Here is a 23776-nt window from a genome sequence, read left to right as displayed (position 1 = left end):
CTAAGTCTGACATTCTTTAACACACATTTATTGGTATCAGATTGAGATTTTTCTTGTGCCAAAAAAATGCCCACATAGATGGTTTTTACTCTACATTGGTGCCAGCAGCACATGGTGCAAGGACTGTGATCTGAGATAAAATAAGATCCATTTGGGAGCTGACACTAACAACAATATGTACGGTCCCTGTTCTGCCCTGCTTTTTCCACTTAAAAATATATCTGGGGCCGGGCGTCGTGGCTCACGTCTGTAATCCCAGCACTTTGGGAGGCCGAGGTGGGTGGATCACACAAGGTCAGGATTCGAGATCAGCCTGGCCAACACGGCAAAACCCTGTCTCTACTAAAAATACAAAAAATTAGCTGGGTGTGGTGGTGCACACCTGCAGTCCCAACTACTTGGGAGGCTAAGGCAGGAGAATAGCTCGAACCCAGGAGGCGGAGGCTGCAGTGAGGTGAGATCGCTCACTGCATTCCAGCCTGGGTGACAGAGGGAGACTCTGTCTAAAAAAAAAAAAAATGGCTGGACACAGTGGCTCATACCTGTAACCCCAGCATTCTGGGAGGCCAAGGCGGTGGATCACTTGAGGTCAGCAATGTGAGACCAGCATGGCCAACATGGTGAAACCTTGTCTCTACTAAAAATACAAAAATTAGCCGGGCATGGTGGCGGGTGCCTGTAATCCCGTCTACTTGGGAGGCTAAGGCAGGAGAATCGCTTGAACCCAGGAGGTGGAGGCTGCAGTGAGCTGAGCTCACACCCTGCACTCCAGCCTGGGCAACAGAGTGAAACTATGCCTCAAAACACACACACACACACACACACACACACACACACACACACACACACGCACACGAGATTTTTTTTTTTTTTTTTTTTGAGACAGAGTCTTGCTCTGTCAGGCTGGAGTGCAGCGGCTCGATCTCGGCTCACTGCAAGCTCCGCCTCCCAGGTTCATGCCATTCTCCTGCCTCAGCCTCCCAAGTAGCTGGGACTACAGGCGCCCGCCACCACGCCCGCCTAATTTTTTGTATTTTTTAGTAGAGACGGGGTTTCACCATGTTAGCCAGGATGGTCTCGATCTCCTGACCTCATGATCCACCTGCCTCGGCCTCCCAAAGTGCAGGGATTACAGGCGCGAGCCACCGCGCCCGGACACACACGAGATCTTTAACATCAAAGAATTTCCTTGTTTTTGTTTAAGTACTTGGGCTGGCTGAGGGAATGTCCTCAGAGGCAATTGTCCATCCTAGAAATATTCACAGAATATGAATAAGCATGTTGCTAATTAATCAACTTTAGAGGTAAAAGACATTTATCAAAGATTGGGGAGGAAGAAAGCGTGTTAGGAGAAATTACTCTTCAAATTATGGCGAGGATAGTCCTGATTATTATTGCCTTAAGTCACTCATTTGTTTTCCTAAAATTAACAACAGGACAGGAATCTACATTGAATCTAAACTACTAGTGTAGGTTTCCTATTTGCTTTCCACTTAACTCCTGACACTAGGCAGGGTGGTACTGGGTCCTCTAGTCAGGGAAATGAGTTTGCGACTTCCTGCCAGTGCTCTCAGTGAGGATGGCATCACAGCTTGCTTCTATAAGAGCTAAGATAAAAAGCAGCACTTACCCATGAGAACCAAATTAAGTGATCTGAAGATGAAGGCATTCTGGCTCAAAAGCATCTTTGCTATTTTTAGAGTCTTCTCTTGACTTTTACATCTGAAATCAACATTAGGTGATCAAAATTCTGAAGTGTCTAATTAAACTGCAAATATAAAAATGGGAGCAAAGACAAGATAATGAGAGACCTGTAAGGAATAGTAAAATTCCTAGTCATTTACCCCATTTATTCAAGTGAGCCTGGTCTCAGCTTCTGGGCCCAATCCCCTACCTAGTCTGGGAGGAATTTTAAATTTAACTTTTGAACAGGCAACAGTCGTTGGGTTCAACAATTTTAAGCATTCAAAAAAAAAATTGTGAAAAGTCTTGCTCCCTTTAGAAAACTTTTTTTTCTTTTGTGAATCCTTCAGAGTATCTTCATGCATAAGCAAAAACAAATACATATTCCTAATTTCCCCATCTTTTAGACAAGAGATAGCATGTATAGTCCCTGTTCCACCCTGCTTTTTCCACTTAAAAATATGTTTGGAAGATCTTTCTATCCTTGTTTTTTAAATAGCTGGATACAGTTCTACTCTATAGACACACCATTATTTATATAATTAGTACCCCTACTATAGACATTTGAATTATTTCCAGTCTCTTCTGCAAGGAAATCTCTTTCATTTTGCACATGTGCCAGTTTAAGTGTGGGAAAATTTCCAGAAGTAGAATTGCTAGACAAAGGACATATCAGTTAGGGTTCTGGCAAGAAACAGCTCATTCAAATTAGGATACACGCTTTTTAAAAAAATAAATTTAAGGGGTACAAGTGCAGTTTTGTTAGATAGATATATTGCATAGTGGTGAAATTTGGGCTTTTAGTGTATCCATCACCTGAATAGTATACATTATACCCATTAAGTAATTTCTCATTCCTTAACTCCCCACACCCAATCCACCCTTCTCAGTCAGTAATGACTATCATTCCACATTATATATATGTCAATGTGTGCACATTTTTTATTAATAGCTCCCACTTATAAGAACATGTGGTATTGACTGTTTCTGAGTTGTTTCTCTTAAGATAATGGCCTCCAGTTCCATCCATGTTGCTGCAAAAACACGATTTCATTCTTTTTTATGGCTGAATATACTGTGTGTATATATATGTAACTTTTTTTTTTTTTTGAGACGGGTCTTGCTGTGTTGCCTAGCCTGGAGTGCCAGTGGTGCAATCATGGCTCACTGCAGCCTCAACCTCCCAGGCTCAAGCAATCCTCCCACCTGTCCCCCTAAGTAGCTGAGACTACAGGTATGTGTCATCACACACCGGCTAATTAAAAAAACCTTTTTTTTGTAGAGATAGGGTCTCACTATGTTGCCCAGGCTGATCTCAAACTCCTGGATTCTCGCCTTGGCCTCCCAAAGTGCTGGGATTACAGATGTGAGCACCACACCTAGCCACATTTTCTTTATCCAATCATTTGTTGATGGATACTTAGGTTGATTCCATATCTTTGCAACTGTGAACAGTGCTGTGTTCTGAGAAATTCATTGTTAGGCTATTTTGTTGTATGAACATCAGAGTATACTTAGACAAACCTAGATAGCATAGCCAACTACACATCTAGGTTATATGGTATAGACTATTGTTCCTAGGCTATAAATCTGTGCAGCATGGTACTGTGCTGAATACTGTAAGCAGTTGCAACACAGTGGCATTTGTGTATCTGAACATATTTAGACACAGAAAAGGTACAGTAGAAATATGGTATAATCTTATGGGGCTATCGTCATATAAAAGGTCCATCTTTGCCCAAGACATCATTAGGGGTTGCAGGACTATATTTACAAATGTGTGAGAGGGCTGTAGGCAAACCAGAAGGGAGAGTATAGAATCTGCAGCTCACAACATTGAGGCCTGTGACCACTCTGGGGCCCAGAAGGGAGACTCCAGAACCTGTAGCTCACAACATTGAGGGCTGTGACCACTCTGGGCCTGCAGAAGGGAGAATATAGAACCTGTAGCTCACAACATTGAGGGCTGTGACCACTCTGGGCCTGCAGAAGGGAGAATATAGAACCTGTAGCTCACAACATTGAGGGCTGTGACCACTCTGGGCCTGCAGAAGGGAGAATATAGAACCTGTAGCTCACAACATTGAGGGCTGTGACCACTCTGGGCCTGCAGAAGGGAGAATATAGAACCTGTAGCTCACAACATTGAGGGCTGTGACCACTCTGGGCCCCAGGAGGGAGAGTACAGAACCTGCAGATCACAACATTGAGGGCTGTAACATTCTGGGTCTGCAGAATGGAGGGTATAGAACCTGTAGCTCACAACATTGAGAGCTGTAGCTCACAACATTGAGGGCTGTCACCACTCTGGGCCTGCAGAAAGGAGAGTATAGAACCTGTAGCTCACAACATTGAGGGCTGTGACCACTCTGGGCCCCAGGAGGGAGAGTACAGAACCTGCAGCTCACAACATTGAGGGCTGTTACCATTCTGGGCCTGCAGAAGGGAGGGTATAGAACCTGTAGCTCACAACATTGATGGCTGTAATCACTCTGGGCCGGAGGGGGAAGAGAAGCCAACATTGCAATTTGTAAGGAGAAACTCCTGTATGAGCAGCTATGACATGAGACCACTGGACACAGCCAGACCAAGAGGACAGTGCAGGCAGGAAGCTGAGGGATAAATATCACTCACGGTGTCCCTTCCTTCTCTTATTTGGGGCTCCCCATCGGCTGAACACAACCAGAAGCCATAGGGCAAGGGGCCTGGAGTTGTATCCTTACCAGACAGGGTCCTGGGCCAACTAAACAGTGGGGAGAGGGGAGGGTGGGTCTGAAGAAGCAGACAGAAGAGACCTGGCAATGAAACTATGCATCTGTAATTTGGATAGAAACTGTCACACTGACCACCCGCGGGGCTATACCAATTTACATAACCACCTGCAATGTGTGAGAATTTTCGTTTCCCTACCGTTGCTTCTTAGAGGTATATCATCAAGTTCTTGGATTTTTCTCAAATTCATAAATGAAAAGTTGTCTTTCACATTAATATTAATTTGTATTTCTCTTACTCTTTGTGATGGAACACCTTCATCTTTTCATAGGTTTAAGAGCGATTTGCATCTCCTTCTCATTAACTGTTCGTGCCTTTGGCAATTTTTCTGTTGAGCTGTTGCTATTTTCTTACTGGTTTGCAGTTTTTTTTTTTTTTAAGTAGAAGGGAAACTGTGATATGAGTCACATCTTTTTCTTCTCTCCCCAGTTTGTCACTTGCCCTTTGAGTTGCTTGTGCTGTTTAAAAAAAACAACCCCCCCAAAAAAACACCCAGAAGTTTTTGAGTTTTATGTTTTCAGATTTAAAGGTATTTTCTTTCTTAGCTTCTAAATTTTGAGTCATAATCAGAAAGTCTTCCCTACTCCAAGGTGAGAAAGGAGTTCTTCAAGAAGAATTTTAAGGAGCCCCAGTAGATCTTGTTCCTTCTCTCTCTCTCAGATATTCTGTCCCCATCCATGTGACTAAGACCTATAGATTGTGGGCATTCTTCTGTCCCCCAAACACTGGGGAAATATCATCAAAATAAAAAAAGACCATGAAATCGCAGACTTGTCATGGCTTGTGGCGACTGTCTGTGGCTGGTGACATAGGAGTAAGAAGAATTTACCATGACAGTTTAGGTCAAGAAAGGCAGATTTATTAGAGAAAGTAGGAAAATACATTGCAAGGGAGCAATGGGCAGGTCAGTAAGAGACGAGTTGACTGCCAGGAGACAAAGGCTTGCTGGGGATTTTATAAAATGCAATTTAAGCTGAAGAGTGCTATGTGGAGGACTGACAACGCCAAGGTAGCAGGGAGCTAACTTGCATTTTTCGGTCAGCCGAGATGTTTGATGATAAGTTGAAGCATTTGATGATACGCAGGAAGATTGTGAGTTATGTGTGCAGGAGGGTCGTATGTCCTGGGCCATAAAGAAAGGCAGACCTATAGCTTATCTGCTTCTTCTTTTTGTTTGTATGTCCTGGACCATGAAGCAAGGTAGACCTATGGCTTATCTGCTTTATCTCTTTGCTTTCCCCTAGACCCCCAGCCTGACTCCTCTTCCCTAATTAGGACTTCACAAGACGAAGTTCAAGCTAAAAACAATGTAATTTTTAAGTCTTCTCTGCTGCCACAGTAACACATCCAACCTGGGGTATTCTCTTAGAGAAATCCAAGTGATTCCAAGTCAAAATTTCCAGCCTTGCTACAGACTCCACCACCCATGAGATATCCAAGCACGACTGCCTGGAACTAATCCCATAATACTGTACCCATTGAGAAACATCTGCTGAGATATCTTGATGTGTGATGTCATCTCCCATAATCAATCCACAGCAGAGGCGTTGCCTAGTTGTGAACATTCCCCTAGATACCACCACATCCAGATTGTAGAAGGGCAACTTCTTTATTTTTTGAGACAGGGTCTCACTCTGTCACCCAGGCTGGAGTGCAGTGGTGTGATCTCGGCTCACTGCAACCTCTGCCTCCTGGGCTCAAGCGATTCTCCCACCTCAGCCTCCCAAGTAGCTGGGACTACAGGCATTTGCCACTACACCTGGCTAATTTTTGTATTTTTTTTTTTAGAGATGGGGCTTTGCTATGTTGTCCAGGCTGGTCTTGAACTCTTGGGCTCAAGTGATCCTCCGGCCTCAGCCCCACAAAGGGCTTGGATTATGGATGTGAGCCACCATGCCCAGCCAGGGCAACCCCTTTATATTTGAACACCTGACCTGACCTCTGACATGTGGCCTCTGGTCCCCATTTGTCTCCAACGGTGGCACATCTTCATCTTTGTTATATATCTGCAGGAACACTCAGTCTCTTCAGCAGCCGAGAAAACACACACACACACACACACACACACACACACCCCATTCTCCCCCTCTGGGCCAGGGGATGGCTTCCTTCCTTGCTTTCTGGTGACTTATACTTCACTTGGAACCATATGCCTGATTACCAGATTCTTCTTGCTTGGAAAATATAATATCCCATCTTGGCATCGTGCCTAAATTGTTAATGGAGCTCCTTAAAACTCTTGCTGACTACAAATAGATCAGTCTTCCTAAAGCATGGCTCCTGTCAACAGGGCTAGTCTCAGTACCCCCAGGCCCTGCAGCTAGAAGGATCCTACACTTGGCTTGAGGTTCTCCTGTGGCTATCCTGAAATTCTTAACCATTTTATCTTTCAATGTGAGTTTTGTGCTAGGAGCCCCAGCTCACACTTGGATCCTTCCCCATCTCCTGCAGTTTAGGCTCCCAGCAGAGGAATCCCAGGCCCTGTCTGGCTTCAATCTCTATGCCTAACAACTGCTGCTGCTACTGTTGGCATGGGGCATCAACTGGGACCACATTCCGCTGAAGCCCTCCTGGTGCAGATGCTGGAGAGGTCAGGGCCAGCACTCCAGCCTCGCCCCATGGACTGGAGTCAGAGGGTGACTGGCTGGAGGTTGGGTCTGGCAGGGATGAGTCTCTGGGTCACTCTTGACCCAGGTACCTAGCATATCTGAGGCAGAGACGTAAAGACCCTTGGACGTGGCCACTACACTGTGGGTTAGGATGGTAGGTGCTTGGGAAAGGGAGATGCAAGGCTTGACTTCCACAGAGCCTGCCCCAGGCTGGATCGAGGGGAAGCTAGCAGGAGGGGGATGCCTAGAAGTCAGGTGCAAGTACATGCATCCTAGAGTCACCAGGGCAGAGGGGCCCCAGGGACCTGTGTGAATCTGCTCTGGCTCCCTCGGTATCCCTGAGCCTGAGGGAGGGCTCCCTTGGGTGGCTCTGTGCCTGGTGGAGACCCTCTCTTCCTCTTTGCAATCTTCCTCTGTCTGGCTTCAGTTTGCTTCTTCTGGCTAGTTCAAGGGAACCTCCCAAGATGTGCTGTAAAGTACTAATGGTATAACTTGGCAATTCCATATATGAATTAAATGCTCTTATTTAAATCTGGTTTTGCATAATATAAAGAACTGCAATATTCATGCTAATAATTCAAGTTTTTATTTTTATTTTTTATTTTATTTTATTTTTTGAGACAGAGTCTCACTCTGTCCCCCAGGCTGGAGTGCAGTGGCGCAAACTTTGGCTCACTGCAAGCTCCGCCTTCCGAGTTCACTCCATTCTCCTGCCTGAGCCTCCAGAGTAGCTGGGACTACAGGCGCCCGCCACCACACCCAGCTAATTTTTTGTATTTTTAGTAGAGACGGGGTTTCACAGTGTTAGCCAGGATGGTCTCGATCTCCTGACCTCATGATCCACCTGACTTGGCCTCCCAAAGTGCTGGGATTACAGGCGTTAGCCACCATGCCCGGCCTATTTTTTTACTTAGAATGATATTAAATAGCAAACAAAAAAACATTACGTGTTGAGAGAGAGAGACTGTGGAAGAAAAGGCTTTATATTTTAGTACCTTTAGTGGTACTTTCTCAGGCATTTTTATTTGGCTCTGGGTGGGCCCTGTGAATTATGTAGTGAGCTCAGTCTGTAGCTCACTGTTGCCTGACAATGCACCAAGCTCCTTAGGTTAAATTCAAGGCTATCAGCCTTTCCAGTTTTTCCTAGAGTTATTGTCCTGCTGAGCCCCAGGTGACAGGTCACCCCCTGCTCTTGTCAGAGGTGTTGGAACCAGAGTGACTCCATCTTGAGTAGCAGCTGGGTAAAATGAGGCTGAGACCTGCTGGGCTGCATTCCCAGGGGGTTAGGCATTCTTAGTTATGTGATAAAACAGGAGGTCACAAAGACCCTGCTGATAAGACAGGACGCAGTAAAGAAGCTGGCCAAAGCCTGCCAAAACCAAGATGGTGACAAAACTGTCCTCACTGCTTATCATATGCTAATTACAATATATTAGCATGCTAAAGGAAACTCCCACCAGTGCCACCACAGTTTACAAATGCCATGGCAACATGCAGAAGTTACCCTATATCATCGAAAAAAGTGAGGAACCCTCAGTTCCAGAACTCCCACCCCTTTTGCAGACAACTTATGAATAATCCACCACTTGTTTAGCATATGATCAAGAAATAACCATAAGTATACTTAGTGGAGCAGCCCATGCTGCTGCTCTGCCTATGGAGTAGCCACCCTTTCATTCCTTGACTTTCTTAATAAACTTGCTTTCACTTAATTCTGTCAGCTTGCTCTTTAATTCCATCCTGTGCGAAGCCAACAACTCATGTGGCTTCCCAGGCTGAACCCCAATTTTGTCACAGGTTCACCCTGTGACACTGTGGCCTTCTCCATTCTGAAAGAAGAGCTCTACCTGCTATTCACCCTGAGACCAGACAAACCCTGCCAATTTTCAAGGCCCAGATAAAATGGATGGATTGAGTGAAGTGATTCTTTGAATTCCAACTCCTCCTAGACAGACAAACAACCCTCCAGGAACTCGCTGCCTCATAGTCTCCTGGTAAAGTATGGCTGTGTCTTTCCTTCTGTTTGACATAGACTGATGCACATTGTCAAGGAGGCAATGAATAATGAATGAAGTGGATTCAGAAATGTTAGACAAAAACAATTACATATCTTTTTCTGGAAATTAGAAAAATATGAAAAAGTACAAATAAGAAAGTAACACTCATCCTTATTCCTACCATCCAGCATCAACAATTGTTAACATCTTGGCATATTTGATTCTAGCTTATTTTTCAAACATCTTTCTTTTTTCTTCTGTAAAAACTATTACTATCATTAATATTAGGCGAACATAATCCCACAGATCTTTCTATGCATAAACACACACACACACACACACACACACACACACACACACACAGTGTTTCTGTTTAATGTTACTTGGGAAAAGACTAAAATAAAGTCAAAGGAGTTGTTAAAATTTAAATTTTTTTGTCCATAAGAAAGTATAATTTCCTATGATATCCCTCTAAGGTTTTAAATAAAACTTATGAAAGATATTAAAAGTTGCAGTATTATATATTCACATAGCATCTTTTAATTTTATACCATATTTACTATTCCATTCTTTGAAAGAAGAGAATATTGGTATTCTCATGTTTCCTTCCATCTTCCTCTCTGACTTCTTTTTTTTTTGGCTGTATATTTTTGTCTAGATTAATAACAATCGCATTCTATCTTACCCACAATTTCTATAGATGTATTACTTCTATATTTAAATAGAATAAATACTCACCAAGTCTTTTTACCTTTCTCTACTCTTAAGTTCTTTATTTTGATTTATCTCTTAATTTGCTATTTCCTGGATTTTATTACTCAGCAAGTTTTTGTTTTTCCAAAAACGGTTCATGGGTGCTGAATTCCCTTTGTTCTTCCGGAAAAAAAATATGCCCCTCGGAAAAGTTTCTTTCCCTTGGAACTGTTTCCTCACAACCATCATAGTCTGGCATTTAGTGCTGCACTGAAGTCTGAGGCGAGCTTGATTTTGTTTTTCCCTCCTTTACTTTTTCTTCTTAGATTCCTAAATCTTTTTCTTTGAATTTAAATAGTTTAAGATATCGTAGTGCTTCCGTATTCCCACATGACATTTTCTGGAACATGGCATGTTCCTTTGGCCTACAGACCATTTTTTCTTCATCTCAATAAGCTTTCTTTGGACTTATTTTTATTTGAATTTTCTGTCCCATTTGTTGACTTCTCTACATCTGGGACTTCAGTGGTCCCAATTCTTGATTGTATTTTGTCTTTCATAATAGCTTCTTTCTTCTTAATCTTTGTCCCTTTTCAGTTGAATTTACTGGGCTTCCTTACTGGGCTTTCTTCTATTAAAATACTTTTATTTTCAGCAGTATTGCTTCTGTTCTTTCTCCTGACTTATTTATTCTGTCACTATGTTTTTACGGTCTTCAATTTTCCTTTAGGTCTGCAATCTCCCTTTTCATCTCCAGTTTACAATTTTCTCATCTTTGAGTTTGTTTTATTGGATTTATATTTTTATCAAGTTGTTGCACAGTGTAAGGCAATGGTAATGAATTTCTTCTGTTCCAAGTGTAATTCTTTGTTTTTAGTAAGACGTCTTGCAATCCACGTTGTTCTTTCCTTTCCTATTTTTCCCCCTTACCATTTCTGTTCACTTTGCTGCTACTAGTTTGGCTTTAGTACCTCCTACTGATATGGCAGAGTGAAACCTCGACTTCCTTTCCACAACTTTATCTGATTCCAGCTTGTTCTGTAAAGCCTGGGCAATTTCTCTAGCCCAGAAGGTTGGTGCCCAGTGAACCTTCCCCCATCTCACTCACCTTCACCCAGCATAAAGGGCCCACTGTTCCTTTGTGAGAAAAGAAAAAAGCAAAGTATGTTGTGATTCAGTTTCCTCTTTTTTTTTTTTTTAACAAGGACTGGATCAGTCTCCTTCTTTCCTATTTATTACAGAGAAATCTCACTATAGTTTCTGGTGGTTGAGACACATTTAAATTTTAAATTTTTTTTTAAACTTGAGAATTAAAAACAAACAAATGAAAACCAATGACAATGCTGATGGATATCTCCACGTACCAGATGATAAAACCCTGGCTTGTGGGGTAACTCGTTTTCCTGTTAGGGCCAGAGAAAATTTTCAGTGGCTCTGAACTCCTCCCCATCATACATACCTCTCTTTTTCCCTCCTTTGTTTTGTCTTTTCCATACCTCTAAGTCAGCCAACCTCCTCTGCCAATTACCTGTTTTTCCTTTATTCTTCCCTGAATTGCATAGCCCCCAGTTTCATTCTTCCAAAGGAAGAAGAAGGACCCTCAGGGCCAGTGCCGTCAAGCTCTGCTCTAACTCACTAATATTTCACAAATTATAAAATGCCCATTTTCTTTTAACATTTGAGAATTTCTGAAATCAGAATGCTTTCATTCTGGTGGCATGGCATAGCATGATTGACAGTGTTTTTTCTTACTTCATTACATAAAATGAAAGTGCATCTTATAAGCAATGGCATTTTAGTTTGGGTTTTAGCTTTGATAAAACATGATGATTGAGCCTGTAATACTAGCACTTTGGGAGTCCAAAGCAGGTGGATCATTTGAGGTCAGAAGTTCCAGACCAGGCTGGGTAACATAGTGGAAATCCCATCTCTACTAAAAATACAATTAGCCAGGCGTAGTAGCACACGCCTGTAATCTCAGCTACTCAAGAGGCTGAGGCAGAAGAATCGCTTGAACCCAGGAGGGGGAGGTTGCAGTGAGCCAAGACAGTGCCACTGCACTCCAGCCTGCGCGACAGAGCGAGACTTTGTCAAAAACCAAACCAAACCAAACCAAACCAAACAAAACAAAACATGATGATTGATAACGGAAGATGATACATACCATTGACTCTTGAACAGTTTGAAGGTTTATAAAGGTAGCAGAAAAAATGAGTCCAATGTGGCTTTGAGTGTGCAAGTGTGAGCCATGGAATATATATTTTAATAAATGTTTCACGTCTATGACAGTACCTCTAGGGTTATGATCCTTTTCATACTACTTTTTGAAATGACTTTTAGACAAATCACCATTGTCAAATTATGTGAACCAAAATCAGATTTTCTTTAACTTTTCAATAAATACATGAGAAACTTTAGAGGAAATAATAGGTAAGAAAAATGAGTCATGTACATTTTTGATTATCTAAAATTGTGGAAAACAACTTTATGAACAATAGAACTTACAAGTTCAAGTCATTTTCTGCGACAAACAGATCAAGCCTTATCAGCTATGCCCTAATTGCTAGGAGTGTTTATCGAATATTTTCCTTAGGGTAGATTTTGATAGAGTATCTGCTACCCCCTCACCCCCTCAAGCCTGCACAGGTGGATAGGGGGTGGGTGGACAGGATACTGAGAAACCTTGGCAAGCAGTGGGACTTAGCCCCTGGGCCAGTGAGCACACATGGGAAACTCCACCTCTCCCTGAGCCAGCTCCGGCACTTCTCACCACTGAATCAACGCCCAAGCATGCTATATTCGTTTCTAAGACTTCTTGCTAAACAAAACAAGGAAATAAAAAAAAAAATGTTAAAAGAAAGGAGGTGGGAATACTCAGAGTCAATATAACCATCGCTAACCAAATAAACGGGCTGATGGAGTCAACTCGCTACTGCGTGTAACGGATTGATTTGCTCAGGGTTGAAATGCAAGTGCCGATCGCCTCTCCATATTCGCGGAGTATCTTCCCAGTATCTCCCCTCTCCGACCCTGGGAGGGTGCACCCTTCTGTCTCCGCGGCCACGTCCCCTCGCCCCTTCCCCCTCCTGCCTCCACGCAGCGGATCCGGAGGGGTGTAGGCCGCTCCAGCCCCGGCTGCAGTCTGTGACCCTGACGCAGGTCGAGGGGGGCTAATCCCAGGGGACCTCAAGGGGGCGGGCTGGAGATCCCGAACCTGAGCACCCAGCTGGTGAGCCGGTTTTGCAAGGCGGGGTGGACCTGGAGGAATGTGACCCTCAAACTTAGCAACGACTCACATCTTGCAGTGGCAAATGCCCGGTATCCTGGGCATCCTTGGTGGGGTGGGGTGGGACGCGGAGGGGTGCAACGAAAGCGGACTCCCAGCAGGGGCGACGCGTGGAGGGCGCAGGACAGGGCCCGGGAGGGGTCCTGGGGTCGCAGGTGCGGCCCCGGGAGAGAGGAAGGGCGCACTAGCCGCATACTCAAGACGCAGAGGGAGGGCAGGAGGAGGAGGAGGAGTCGGGGAGAGCGAGAGGGAACCGGAGGGGATTCCGGGAACCGCTGCAGGGAGGCGGCGTTTTCCCTCCAGTCAGCTGGCCACGCGCTCCGCTCCCGCGACCCCGCCACGCTGCGTTACCTTTGCAGCTCTCGCCTTGCGGCTCCCGAGAGATGCTAGCCTCGGGCCCCAGCCGCGCCCGGCTCTGGGACCCGACGCTCGCGGTCAGGATGCGCCTCGCGGGCGGCCTCTCGGACAGAAGCGGCGGGCGGGGGACAAAAGCGGCCCGTGCGGCCGGGTGGTGGTCCGCGGGCTGCGCTCGGGGAACTGTTCGGCTCGCCGGCGGGATTCCTACCCGCCGGGAAGAAGCGTCTTTAGTGCGGGTGCGCGCGCCGAGCCCCGGCCTACGAGGAGCGATACGGAAGCGCGGGCGCCGCGCCGCCGCCGGCGCGGGGGCGGGGGCGGAGCCAGGGGCGGGGCCGGAGCCAGGGGCGGGTCCTGGGCCGCTGGCGGGGCTGGAGCAGGGCCGGAGGCGGAGGCCGGGCCGGGGGCTGGGCAGGAGAATAGAAAAAAGGTCCGGTCATTTACAATCGTCTGCTGCCGATTGTCAGCTCCTAACCAATCCCGCCTTCGCCGAGAAAGCTCCATAGGGGAAGAATTTGGGACTGTTTTGTTTACTGAAGTATCCTTAGGGGTTAGAATAGTGCCTGGCATTTAGAAGACACCCAAAGATGTGTTGACTGACTGAATGAATGAATGAACTAAAGAGTGAATGGGTTCTCTCCTGGCTCCCCCACTTGTTAATTGTATAAACCTGCATGATATAATTCTCCAACTAGTAAAACGAGGATAAAAATACCTACCATTGAGTAAATGTTGTAAATATCTACAACATTATCCGTTGTAGATTCTCCCCTCTTCTCCGCGGGTCTCTTCTCCATACTCCTACCCTTCCCTCGACCCCCCACTGATCAACGTGTTTCGGGATAGGCAGAAAGACAGATGTTCTTCATTAATTTGTCTGCTTGTTATTTATAGCCTGTCAACTTCTAAAATAGACTATGAGGCCGGGAGCGGTGGCTCACACCTGTTATCTCAGCACTTTGGGAGGCCAAGGCAGATGGACCATCTGAGGTCAGGACTTCAAGACCCAGCCTGACCAACATGGTGAAACCCTGTCTGTACTAAAAATACAAAAATTAGCTGGGCGTGGTGGCGGGCGCCTGTAATCCCAGTTACTTGGGAGCCTGAGGCAGGAGAATTGCTTGAACCTGGGAGGTGGAGGTTGCAGTGAGTTGAGATTGCACCATTGCACTCCAGCCTGGGAGACAAGAGCGAAACTCTGTCTCAAGAAAAACGAAAAAAAAAAGAAAATCCAAAACCAAAATAGACTATGAGGCAGCTTTCAAGTAAAATGTATGTATATTCTAAACATTACAGCTACTAAAATGGAAATGTTAATATCTTTTTGAAGGAGAGGGAAAAGATACACTAACCACCTAAATTGTTTTAACTGAGTATTTAATCTCTCGTTCAGCTTTCTGGCCTCCTAGGAAAGGGAGGAGGAGGATGTTTCATACTTTTTGTAGATGGGAAAAATGAGCCTTTTAATCTATGAAGTCAACCAACATTTGCTGATACTCCTTTAAGGCTAGGCACAAGGGTGATCATAAAGAGGATGTCACGGTCCTGCCTCTTATGTGACCCTTGGCAGAATTCCCACCAGCCCCATACGATCTGAAGGGAACTTATCTAGGATCCTATTTCTTATAAAAGACATTCAACATTGAAAATATTTTCAGCCACAGTTTTAGAGAATTTGCAGAAATAGCCTCTGAAAATGGGAGAAATCCAATACCAAACTCCATGTGCTGCATGCACTCTTTTATATAAACATATATATTAAAAATAAAACTATGTCAAAACCTTAACTATGACTTATTGCAGATTGGATGATAGTAGGTGATTTTTATTTTGTTTCCTTTCCAAACATTCTACAGTAAACATCCTTACTTATATAATTAGGAAAAAGATTTTTTAAAAAACAAATGCAGTCCTGGCTAACACGGTGAAACCCCGTCTCTACTAAAAATACCAAAAAAAAAAAAAAAAAAAAAAAAAAATTAGCCAGGTGTGGTGGCGGGCGCCTGTAGCCCCAGCTACTCAGGAGGCTGAGGCGAGAGAATGGCGTTAACCCAGGAGGTGGAGCTTGCCGTGAGCCAAGATTGCGCTACCGCACTCCAGCCTGGGCGACAGAGCGAGACTCCGTCTCAAAACAAGCAAACAAACAAAAAACAAAACAAAACAAAAGCAAATGCAGTCTATGCCAAGGTGTGAAGAGCTTGAAAGCTGTCACTCCACTCCCCACAACAAGAGAAAAGCTGAACAAATTGAAGATTAACAACTCTTCTTGTTTCAGTATCAGTGAATTGAGTCACAGGGCAAACTGCAAAAACTGAAAGACAGACAAATGCAAAGAATCACAGTTTACAGGGACCAGAAGCCTCTGAAATCATAGCAAAACTTAAATTGTAATTGACTAATTGCTGGAGACTGAGTGTGGACTAGCTTGAGAATTAAACACTGTTGGGTACTCAGTCTTAGAGGGATGCTCCCCAAATTGTTAAAGGTTTACTCCAAGAAGCTCTACCAAGTTCTCATGGTAAAGACCACAGAAAAATTCCTGACTGGCCGGTGGGAGGGGAAAAGTAAACATTTTGAGATATGCCCAGAGTGTTCTGTAACAAAAACCTGTCCTCAGGGCAATTACATTACTGGAGCCTAAACTGACCTAGCAGAAGGGCAATTAGACAACTCAGCCCCCTCTAGCCTTCCTGTCTATCATGACTGGAGGAAAAAAGCAAAAGTTAAGAAACTTCTCGGAGGGTCATAGCCCAGAGACTCAGGCCCATTAAAGAAAACTCTGGGAATTAATCATAAGATTGTAGAATGTTTTGCCTCCACAGTATCTTACCACCACATCAACAGGACTCTGTAGTATAATAACGGTGGATTACAACTCCATTTAAGAAGGCATTTCTAGGAAAACCCAAAGACAATGGAGGAGACAAAAATGAGGACACTAAATAAAACTGAAGCCTCTGACACCTACAACTACAGCAAACATTTAACACAGCCTAACTCTTAGCCAGATAAACCTAACACCTTATCCTAAAGGGCCATTTATCTCAGCTCCCATGACCTGATATGTTATATCTAGTTTTTAACAACGAATTACAAGGCATGCTGAAAGGCAGACAACACCAAGCACAATTGGAAGAGACAAAGCAAGCTTAGAAATAAGACTCGGAGATGGCAGAGAATTTGCAAATCAGACTAGGAATTTAAAATCATGATGATCGCTATGCTAAGGGTTTTGTTTTTTCATAGAAAAATATATGGTCTGGTTCCTGCCTAGAGCTCCTAAATCCCCTGCAATTTCCTGAGTAATAGGGGTGATAGGCGTTATAACGAGGCTACTGTTTTTGTTTTTGTTTTTGTTTTGAGACCGAGTCTCGCTCTTTTTCCCAGGCTGAAGTGCAGCTGCGCGATCTCGGCTCACTGCAAGCTCCACCTCCCGGGTTCACACCATTCTCCTGCCTCAGCCTCCCAAGTAGCTGGGACTACAGGCACCCGCCACCACACCCAGCTAATTTTTTTTTTTTTTTTTTGTATTTTTGTAGAGACGGGGTTTCACCATGTTAGCCAGGATGGTCTCAATCTCCTGACCTCATGATCTGCCCGCCTCGGCCTCCCAAAGTGCTGGGATTACAGGCGTGAGCCACCGCGCCCAGCAATGAGGCTACTCTTGGTGAGCCCCTGGATAGCTTTTAGATGGAGGCTGGTCACCAAAAAGACCAAGCCCAATAATCAATAAAGCCTGGAACTTTTGGCCCTACCCCCTCCACCCCAACCTCCAGGAAGGAGAGAGGGACTAGAGACTGAGTTAATGATCAATCATGCCTACATGATGTAACCTCCATAAATAACCCCTGAACAACCAACAGAGTTTGAAGAGTTTCTGGGTTGGTTAACACATTAAAGTTCTGGGAGGTTGGTACACTTAGAGACGGCATGGAAGCTCAGTGCCCCTTTCTCCCATACCTTGTCCTAGGTATCTCTTCCACTTGGCTGTTCCTGAATTGTATCTTTTATATAAACCGGTAATAGTAAGTAAAGTGCTTTCCTGAGTTCTGTGAGTAGCTGTAGGGATTCTGTAGATGTTCTTTATCAGGTTGAGAATAATTGTCCAAATAATAATAGCAGCAACATATTGGTTGATTATAGCTTATGAATAAGTGAAATGTATAATAACAATGTTATAAGGGTTGAGAGGGAGAAATTGGGGATACTCTTTTCTAAGATACTTGTGTACTACCCATGAATTAGTGTATTGTTATTTGAAAATGGACTTAGATTAGTTATAATGTATATTGCAAACTCTAGGGCAGTCACTAAAGATTTGTTAAAAAGAAGTATAATTAATGTGATGGTTAATAGTGAGTTTCAACTTGATTGAATTGAAAGATGCAAAGTATTGTTCCTGGGTGTGTCTGTGAGGGTGTTGTCAAAGGAGATTAACATTTGAGTCAGTGGACTGGGAAAGGCAGACCCACCCTCAATCTGGGTGGGCACCATCTAATCAGCTGCCAGCATGGCCAGGATAAAAACAGGCAGAAGAAGGGGGAAAGGCTAGACTGGCTAAGTCTTCTGGCCTCCATCTTTCTCCCATGCTGGATGTTTCCTGCCCTCAAACATCAAATTCCAAGTTCTTCGGCTTTTAGACTCTTGGACTTCACTCCAGTGATCTGCCAGGGGCTCTCAGGCCTTTGGCCACAGACTGAAGGCTGCACTGTTGGCTTCCCTACTTTGAGCTTTTGGGACTTGGACTGGCTTTCCGGCTCCTCAACTTGCAGATGGCTGATCGTGGGACTTCACCTTGTGATCATGTGAATCAATTCTCCCAATAAACTCCCTTTCATATATACATCTGTCCTATTAGTTCTGTCCCTCTAGAGAATCCTGACTAATACAATTAATGTGCTAAGTGAGGGGAGAATGGAATCATATAAAATATTCAATTAAAACCAGAGAAGGGCTGGGCATGGTGGCTCACACCTGTAATCCCAGCACTTTGGGAGGCCGAGGGGGCGGATCACGAGGTCAGGAGATCAAGACCATCCTGGCTACCATGGTGAAACCCTGTCTCCACTAAACATACAAAAAATTAGCCAGGCGTGGTGGCAGGTGCCTGTAGTGCCAGCTACTCAGGAGGCTGAGGCAGGAGAATGGTGTGAACCCAGGAGGCAGAGCTTGTAGTGAGCCAAGATCGTGCCACTGCACTCCAGCCTGGGGACAGAGCCAGACTCCGTCTCAAAAGAAAAAAAAAAAACAAAAAAACAACAACAACAGAGAAGGCAGAAAAAGAGAAGGAAGAAAAACAATAACAGCAACAACAATAAACATAAAAAGAACAAGTGCATTGAATAGAAAACAGTTACAAATATGGGAGATATTAATCTAACTATCAATAGTATATTTAAGTGAATGGTCTAAGTGTACCAATTAAAAGACAGAGACTAATAGAGTGGATTTAAAAATAAATCAAGGGCCAACTATATATTGTCTACCAGAAACCCACTTTAAATATAGAGACACTGATAGATTACATTTTTAAAAATGCCAACCTGACCAACATAGTAAAACCAAAAAAACAAAAAACAAAAAAATTTTAGCTGGGTGTAGTGGCAGGTGCCTGTAGTCCTAGTTACTCAGGAGATTGAGGTGGGAGGATCACTTGAGCCCAGGAGTTCAAGGCTGTAGTGAGCTATGATTGTGCCACTGCACTCCAGGCTGGGCAACAGAGGCAGATCCAGTTTCAAAAAAAAAAGAAGAAAAATGGAGAAATATATGACATTCTAACATTAATCAAAAGAAAGCTGGAGTAGCTGTATTAATTTCAGGCAAGCAGATTTCGGAACAAAGAAAATTATCTGGGGTAAAAGACAATTATATAATGATAAGAAAGTCGGCTTTCCAAGAAAGCATAACAGTCCTTAGTGTATATGCACCCAACTCCAAAGTGTCTAAATATATGATGCAAAAATTAATAGAACTGCAAGGAGAAATAGACAAATCCATCATTACAGTTGGAGTTTTCAATATCTGTTTATCAGTAATTGACAGATTGAGCCAGCAGGGAGAGAATCAGTAAGGATATAGTTGAGATGACCAGCACCATCAATTAATTTGATCTAACTGGCATTTATAGAATATGTCATCTAACAGCAGCAGAATACCCATTCTCAAGTTCTTGTGAAACATTAATTAAAATAGACCACATTCTGGGCCATAAAACTCATGCTAACAAATTTGAAAGAATAGAAATCACACAAAATATACTATTAGATCTTATGGAATTAAACTTGAAATCAATAACAGATAGCTAGAAAAAGTCCCAAAATATTTGGAGATTAAACAATAAACTTGTAAATAACACATGGGTCAAAGAAGAAGACTTAGGAAGAATTGGAATATTTTAACTGAATAAAAATGAAAATAAAACATCAAAATTTGTGGAATAAAATGAAAGCAGTGCTTAGAGGAAAATGTATGGCATTAAATGAATACACAAGAAAAGAAGTGTAAACCAAAAAATATAGTTATAAGCAGCCCCTGCCCTCCCCCCAACCATCTGAATGGATCTGTCCTCTCTGCCAAGGGCATTCCAAAGTTAACCTGAAAAATTTGTTCAGGCCATGATGAAAGGTGGGGTCAGACATGCCTCATTATACCCTCTTCCCTTGTGGAATTCAGGAAAAGCTGACCAGCATTAATATCAACACAGACCTTAAGTCTGATAAGAAGCATTTACAATCTATCCTCTCTGAAGCCAGCTACTTGGAGGCTTCATCTGCGTGATAAAACCTTGGTGTCCACAATCCCTTACTGTAACCCAGACATTCTTTTCTATTGATAATAACAACAAATTGCCAATCAGAAAATATTTAAATCTACCTGTGACCTGGAAGCCTCACCCCACTTCGGATTAACCCACCCTTCCAGATCTAACCAATGTACATCTAACACATATCTGAGTGATGTCTCATATCTCCCTAAAATGTATAAAACTAGGCTGTGAGGCCGGGCGCGGTGGCTCACGCCTGTAATCCCAGCACTTTGGGAGGCCGAGGCGGGTGGATCATGAGGTCAGGAGATCGAGACCATCCTGGCTAACAAGGTGAAACCCCGTCTCTACTAAAAATACAAAAAATTAGCCGGGCGCGGTGGCGGGCGCCTGTAGTCCCAGCTATTCGGGAGGCTGAGGCAGGAGAATGGCGTGAACCCGGGAAGCGGAGCTTGCAGTGAGCCGAGATTGCGCCACTGCAGTCCGCAGTCCGGCCTGGGTGACAGAGCGAGACTCCGTCTCAAAAAAAAAAAAAAAAAAAAAAAAAAAACTAGGCTGTGCCCTGACCACCATGGACACATGTTCTTGGGATCTCTTGAGGGCTATGTTAGGGGCCATTAGTCACTCACATTTGGGCTCAGAATAAATCTCTTCAAATATTTTACAGAGTTTGACTCTTTTTGTTGACAGAACACAGACCTAAAATCAAAAACTAAGCTTCTACCTTGGGAAACTAGAGAAAGAAGATCAATGTAACCTAAAACAAACAGAAGAAAAGAATTAATAAAAATTAAAACAGAAATCAAAGAAATTGAAAACAGAAAATGAATAGAGAAAATCAACCAAACCAAAAGCTCATTCTTTGAAAGATCAGTAAAACTCATAGACCTCTAGGTGGGCTAACCAAGAAAAAAAAGAGAGAGAAGACACAAATTACCAATATTAGAAATGAAAGAGAGGTCATCACTACTAATCCTATGGACATTCAAAGGATAATAAAGAAATATTATGAACAATTTCGTGCCCACAAATTTATTAACTTAGATGAAATGGGCTAATTTCTTGAAAGACACAATCTATCAAAACTCACACAAGGAGAAATAGATAGTCAAAATAGTCCTATATCTATTAAAGAACTGAATCAAGGCCAGACGTGGTGGCTCATGCCTGTAATCCCACCACTTTGGGAGGCTGAGGCCAGCGGATCACCTGAGATCAGGAGTTCAAGACCAGCCTGGCCAACATGGTGAAACACTGTCTCTACCAAAAACACAAAAATTAGCCATTGCAGTCCTGCTTGGGCAATAAGAGTGAGACTCTGACTCAAAAAAAAAAAAAAAAAAAAAAAAGAGAACTGAATCAACAATTGATAACCTTCCAAAAAGAAAACACTAGGCTCAGATGATTGTACTGGTGAATTCTGCCAAATATTTAAGGAAGAATTTATAGCAATTCTCTATTATGTCTTCTAGAAAATTGAAGTAGAGGGAACACTTTCTAGTTTATTCTGTGAAGCCAGCATCACCCTAATGGTAAAACCAGTAAAGACAATACAAGAAAGGACAACTATAGACCAATATCTCTCATGAACATAGACGCAGAAATTCCCAACAAAATATTAGTAAGCCAAATCCAACCATATATAAAAGAAATTATAGGCCATGATTAAATAAGATTTATTCTAGTTACACAAGGCTGGCTCATCCTTTGAAAATCAATTAATGTAATCCATCATATCAACAGGCTAAAGAAGAAAAATCACCTATCAATAGATGAAGATAAAGCATTTGACAAAATCTAACATTTGTGATAAAAACTCTGAGCAAACTAGGAAGAGAGAATGTTCTCAACTTGTTAAAGAATGTCTACAAAAAACCCTACAGCTGATATTATGCTTTATTGTGAAAAACTGGATGCATCTTCCCTAAGATTAGGAGGAAAGCAAGGATATCCATTTCATTAGTCTTATCAACATTGTACTGGAAGTACTAGGTAATACAATAAGATAAGAAAAAGAAAGATGTACAGATTGGGAAAGAATAAATAAAACTTTTTAAATTTGCAGATAACATAATTATCTACATAGGAAATTCCAAAGAACTGATTAAAAAAAAAAAACCCTCACAAATCACTCCTAGAAATAGTTAGTGTTTTAAATGGTAATAAGGTTGCACGATACAACATTACTATACAAAAGTCAATTGCTTTCCTATATATCAAGAATGAACAATTAGAATTTGAAATTAAAAGTACAATACCATTTACACTAGCACAGAGTGACAGAGAGAGAGAGAAATCTAACAAAATACGTAGAAGATTTGTATGAGGAGAAATATAAAACGTTAATGAAAGAAATAAAAGATCAAAAAAAAATAGAGGGATAGTCCATGTTAATGGATAGGAAGACTCAGTAGTGTTAAAATGTTAATTCTTCCCAATTTGATATACATTTAATGGAATCTCAACCAAAATCCCAACAAGTTATTTTGTGAATAGCGACAAACTGATTCTCAAGTTTATGTGAAAAGACAAAGGACCCAGATAGCTAACATAATGCTGAAGTAGAATAAAGCTGGAAGACTGATACTATCTGACTTCAGGATTTACTATAAAGCTATAATAATCAAGACAGTATGGTATTGGTGAAAAAATAAGCAAATAGACCTAAGAAACAGAATAGAGAGCCCAGAAATAGACCCATAAAAATACAGTAGACTGATCTTTGACAAAGCAGTAAAGACAATCCAATGGAGAAAGAATTATCTTTCCAACAAATGGTGCTGGAACAACTGAATATGTGAAAAGATGTATTGAGACACACATCTTTATACCTTTCACAAAAATTAACTTGAACTGGATCATAGACCTAAATGTAAAAGGCAAAACTCAAAAAATTCTACAAGATAACAAAGGGGAAAATCTAGGTGTCTTTGAGTTTGGTGATGACTTTTAGATCCAACACCAAAAGCACAATCCATGAAATAAAAAAAAAAATTGGATTTTATTTAAATTAAAAAGTTCTGCTCTGTGAAAAACACTGTTAAGATAATGAAAAGACAAGCTACGTATTGGGAGTTTACACCTGTGTTTTCCTTTTTAAATACTGAATAAATAGAAAATTTGATGAAGAACAATACATTTATATAGTCTCAAAGTGTCTCATCACAAAAATGCTTATTAATTACAAAGGGGAAAAGAATAATTTTACAGTGGCAAACCCTGGTGAGGTCATCTTAAATGGTAAAATTGAACGTCATCAATAATGAGACAAAGCAGAGCTGTGCATCATGCAACAGGAAGTGATGAAAACAAGGCAGCACCTCATGTGTGATGCTTCCACCAAAGGTGCATACCAAATTGGCCCAGGGCCCAGCCCTCAGCCCTCTTCATCTGTTTTTTGTTTCTGATTTTTTTGTTTTTGTTTTTGTTTTTGAGATGGAGTCTTGCTCTGTCGCTTGGGCTGGAGTTCAATGGTGCGATCTTGGCTCACTGCAACCTCCACCTCCTGGGTTCAAGCGATTCTCCTGCCTCAGCCTCCCGAGTAGCTGGGACTACAGGTGCCTGCCACCACTCCTAGCTAATTTTTGTATTTTTAGTAGAGATGAGGTTTCACCATGTT

General features: G+C 42.7%; 2 protein-coding genes across 9 annotated transcripts in view, besides 7 other annotated features; both read right to left on the bottom strand.

Moving 5' to 3' along the window:
• Window positions 1-13670, bottom strand: part of IFNAR2-IL10RB (IFNAR2-IL10RB readthrough) — a 67284-nt gene extending 53614 nt beyond the window's left edge. Inside the window, exons 1-2 of the mRNA NM_001414505.1 lie at window positions 13392-13670; window positions 1631-1722 (exon numbers count right to left, since the gene is read on the bottom strand). Of these exons, the coding sequence (NP_001401434.1) occupies window positions 1631-1685 (55 nt within the window). The 5' untranslated portion in view covers window positions 1686-1722; window positions 13392-13670. The remainder of the gene's footprint in view (window positions 1-1630; window positions 1723-13391) is intronic.
• The window catches only part of IFNAR2 (interferon alpha and beta receptor subunit 2), a 35727-nt gene extending 22057 nt beyond the window's left edge, over window positions 1-13670 (bottom strand). For 5 of the 8 annotated variants that reach the window (NM_207584.3, NM_207585.3, NM_001385055.1 and 2 more), the window contains exons 1-2: window positions 13392-13670; window positions 1631-1722 (exon numbers count right to left, since the gene is read on the bottom strand). In NM_207584.3, the coding sequence (NP_997467.1) occupies window positions 1631-1685 (55 nt within the window). In that variant the 5' untranslated portion in view covers window positions 1686-1722; window positions 13392-13670. Of the gene's footprint in view, window positions 1-1630; window positions 1769-13391 lie in introns of all 8 variants that reach the window. The other 3 variants (NM_000874.5, NM_001289125.3, NM_001289128.2) reach the window with 1 other exon arrangement.
• Window positions 4900-4949: an enhancer, noted in NCBI's record as "active region_18370". NCBI's record gives its function as "activates an Ori minimal core promoter by ATAC-STARR-seq in GM12878 lymphoblastoid cells {active_cell/tissue: GM12878}" and the evidence as "EXISTENCE:reporter gene assay evidence [ECO:0000049][PMID:35858748]".
• Window positions 5090-5319: an enhancer, noted in NCBI's record as "active region_18369". NCBI's record gives its function as "activates an Ori minimal core promoter by ATAC-STARR-seq in GM12878 lymphoblastoid cells {active_cell/tissue: GM12878}" and the evidence as "EXISTENCE:reporter gene assay evidence [ECO:0000049][PMID:35858748]".
• Window positions 8875-8924: an enhancer, noted in NCBI's record as "active region_18368". NCBI's record gives its function as "activates an Ori minimal core promoter by ATAC-STARR-seq in GM12878 lymphoblastoid cells {active_cell/tissue: GM12878}" and the evidence as "EXISTENCE:reporter gene assay evidence [ECO:0000049][PMID:35858748]".
• Window positions 11792-11981: a silencer, noted in NCBI's record as "silent region_13253". NCBI's record gives its function as "represses an Ori minimal core promoter by ATAC-STARR-seq in GM12878 lymphoblastoid cells {active_cell/tissue: GM12878}" and the evidence as "EXISTENCE:reporter gene assay evidence [ECO:0000049][PMID:35858748]".
• Window positions 13204-13253: a silencer, noted in NCBI's record as "silent region_13252". NCBI's record gives its function as "represses an Ori minimal core promoter by ATAC-STARR-seq in GM12878 lymphoblastoid cells {active_cell/tissue: GM12878}" and the evidence as "EXISTENCE:reporter gene assay evidence [ECO:0000049][PMID:35858748]".
• Window positions 13274-13333: a silencer, noted in NCBI's record as "silent region_13251". NCBI's record gives its function as "represses an Ori minimal core promoter by ATAC-STARR-seq in GM12878 lymphoblastoid cells {active_cell/tissue: GM12878}" and the evidence as "EXISTENCE:reporter gene assay evidence [ECO:0000049][PMID:35858748]".
• Window positions 13394-13853: a silencer, noted in NCBI's record as "silent region_13250". NCBI's record gives its function as "represses an Ori minimal core promoter by ATAC-STARR-seq in GM12878 lymphoblastoid cells {active_cell/tissue: GM12878}" and the evidence as "EXISTENCE:reporter gene assay evidence [ECO:0000049][PMID:35858748]".

The sequence above is a fragment of the Homo sapiens genome, chromosome 21 (genome assembly GCF_000001405.40).
Source record: "Homo sapiens chromosome 21, GRCh38.p14 Primary Assembly".
NCBI classification, from domain to species: Eukaryota; Metazoa; Chordata; class Mammalia; order Primates; family Hominidae; genus Homo; species Homo sapiens.
This window is presented reverse-complemented; position numbering and strand designations above follow the sequence as displayed.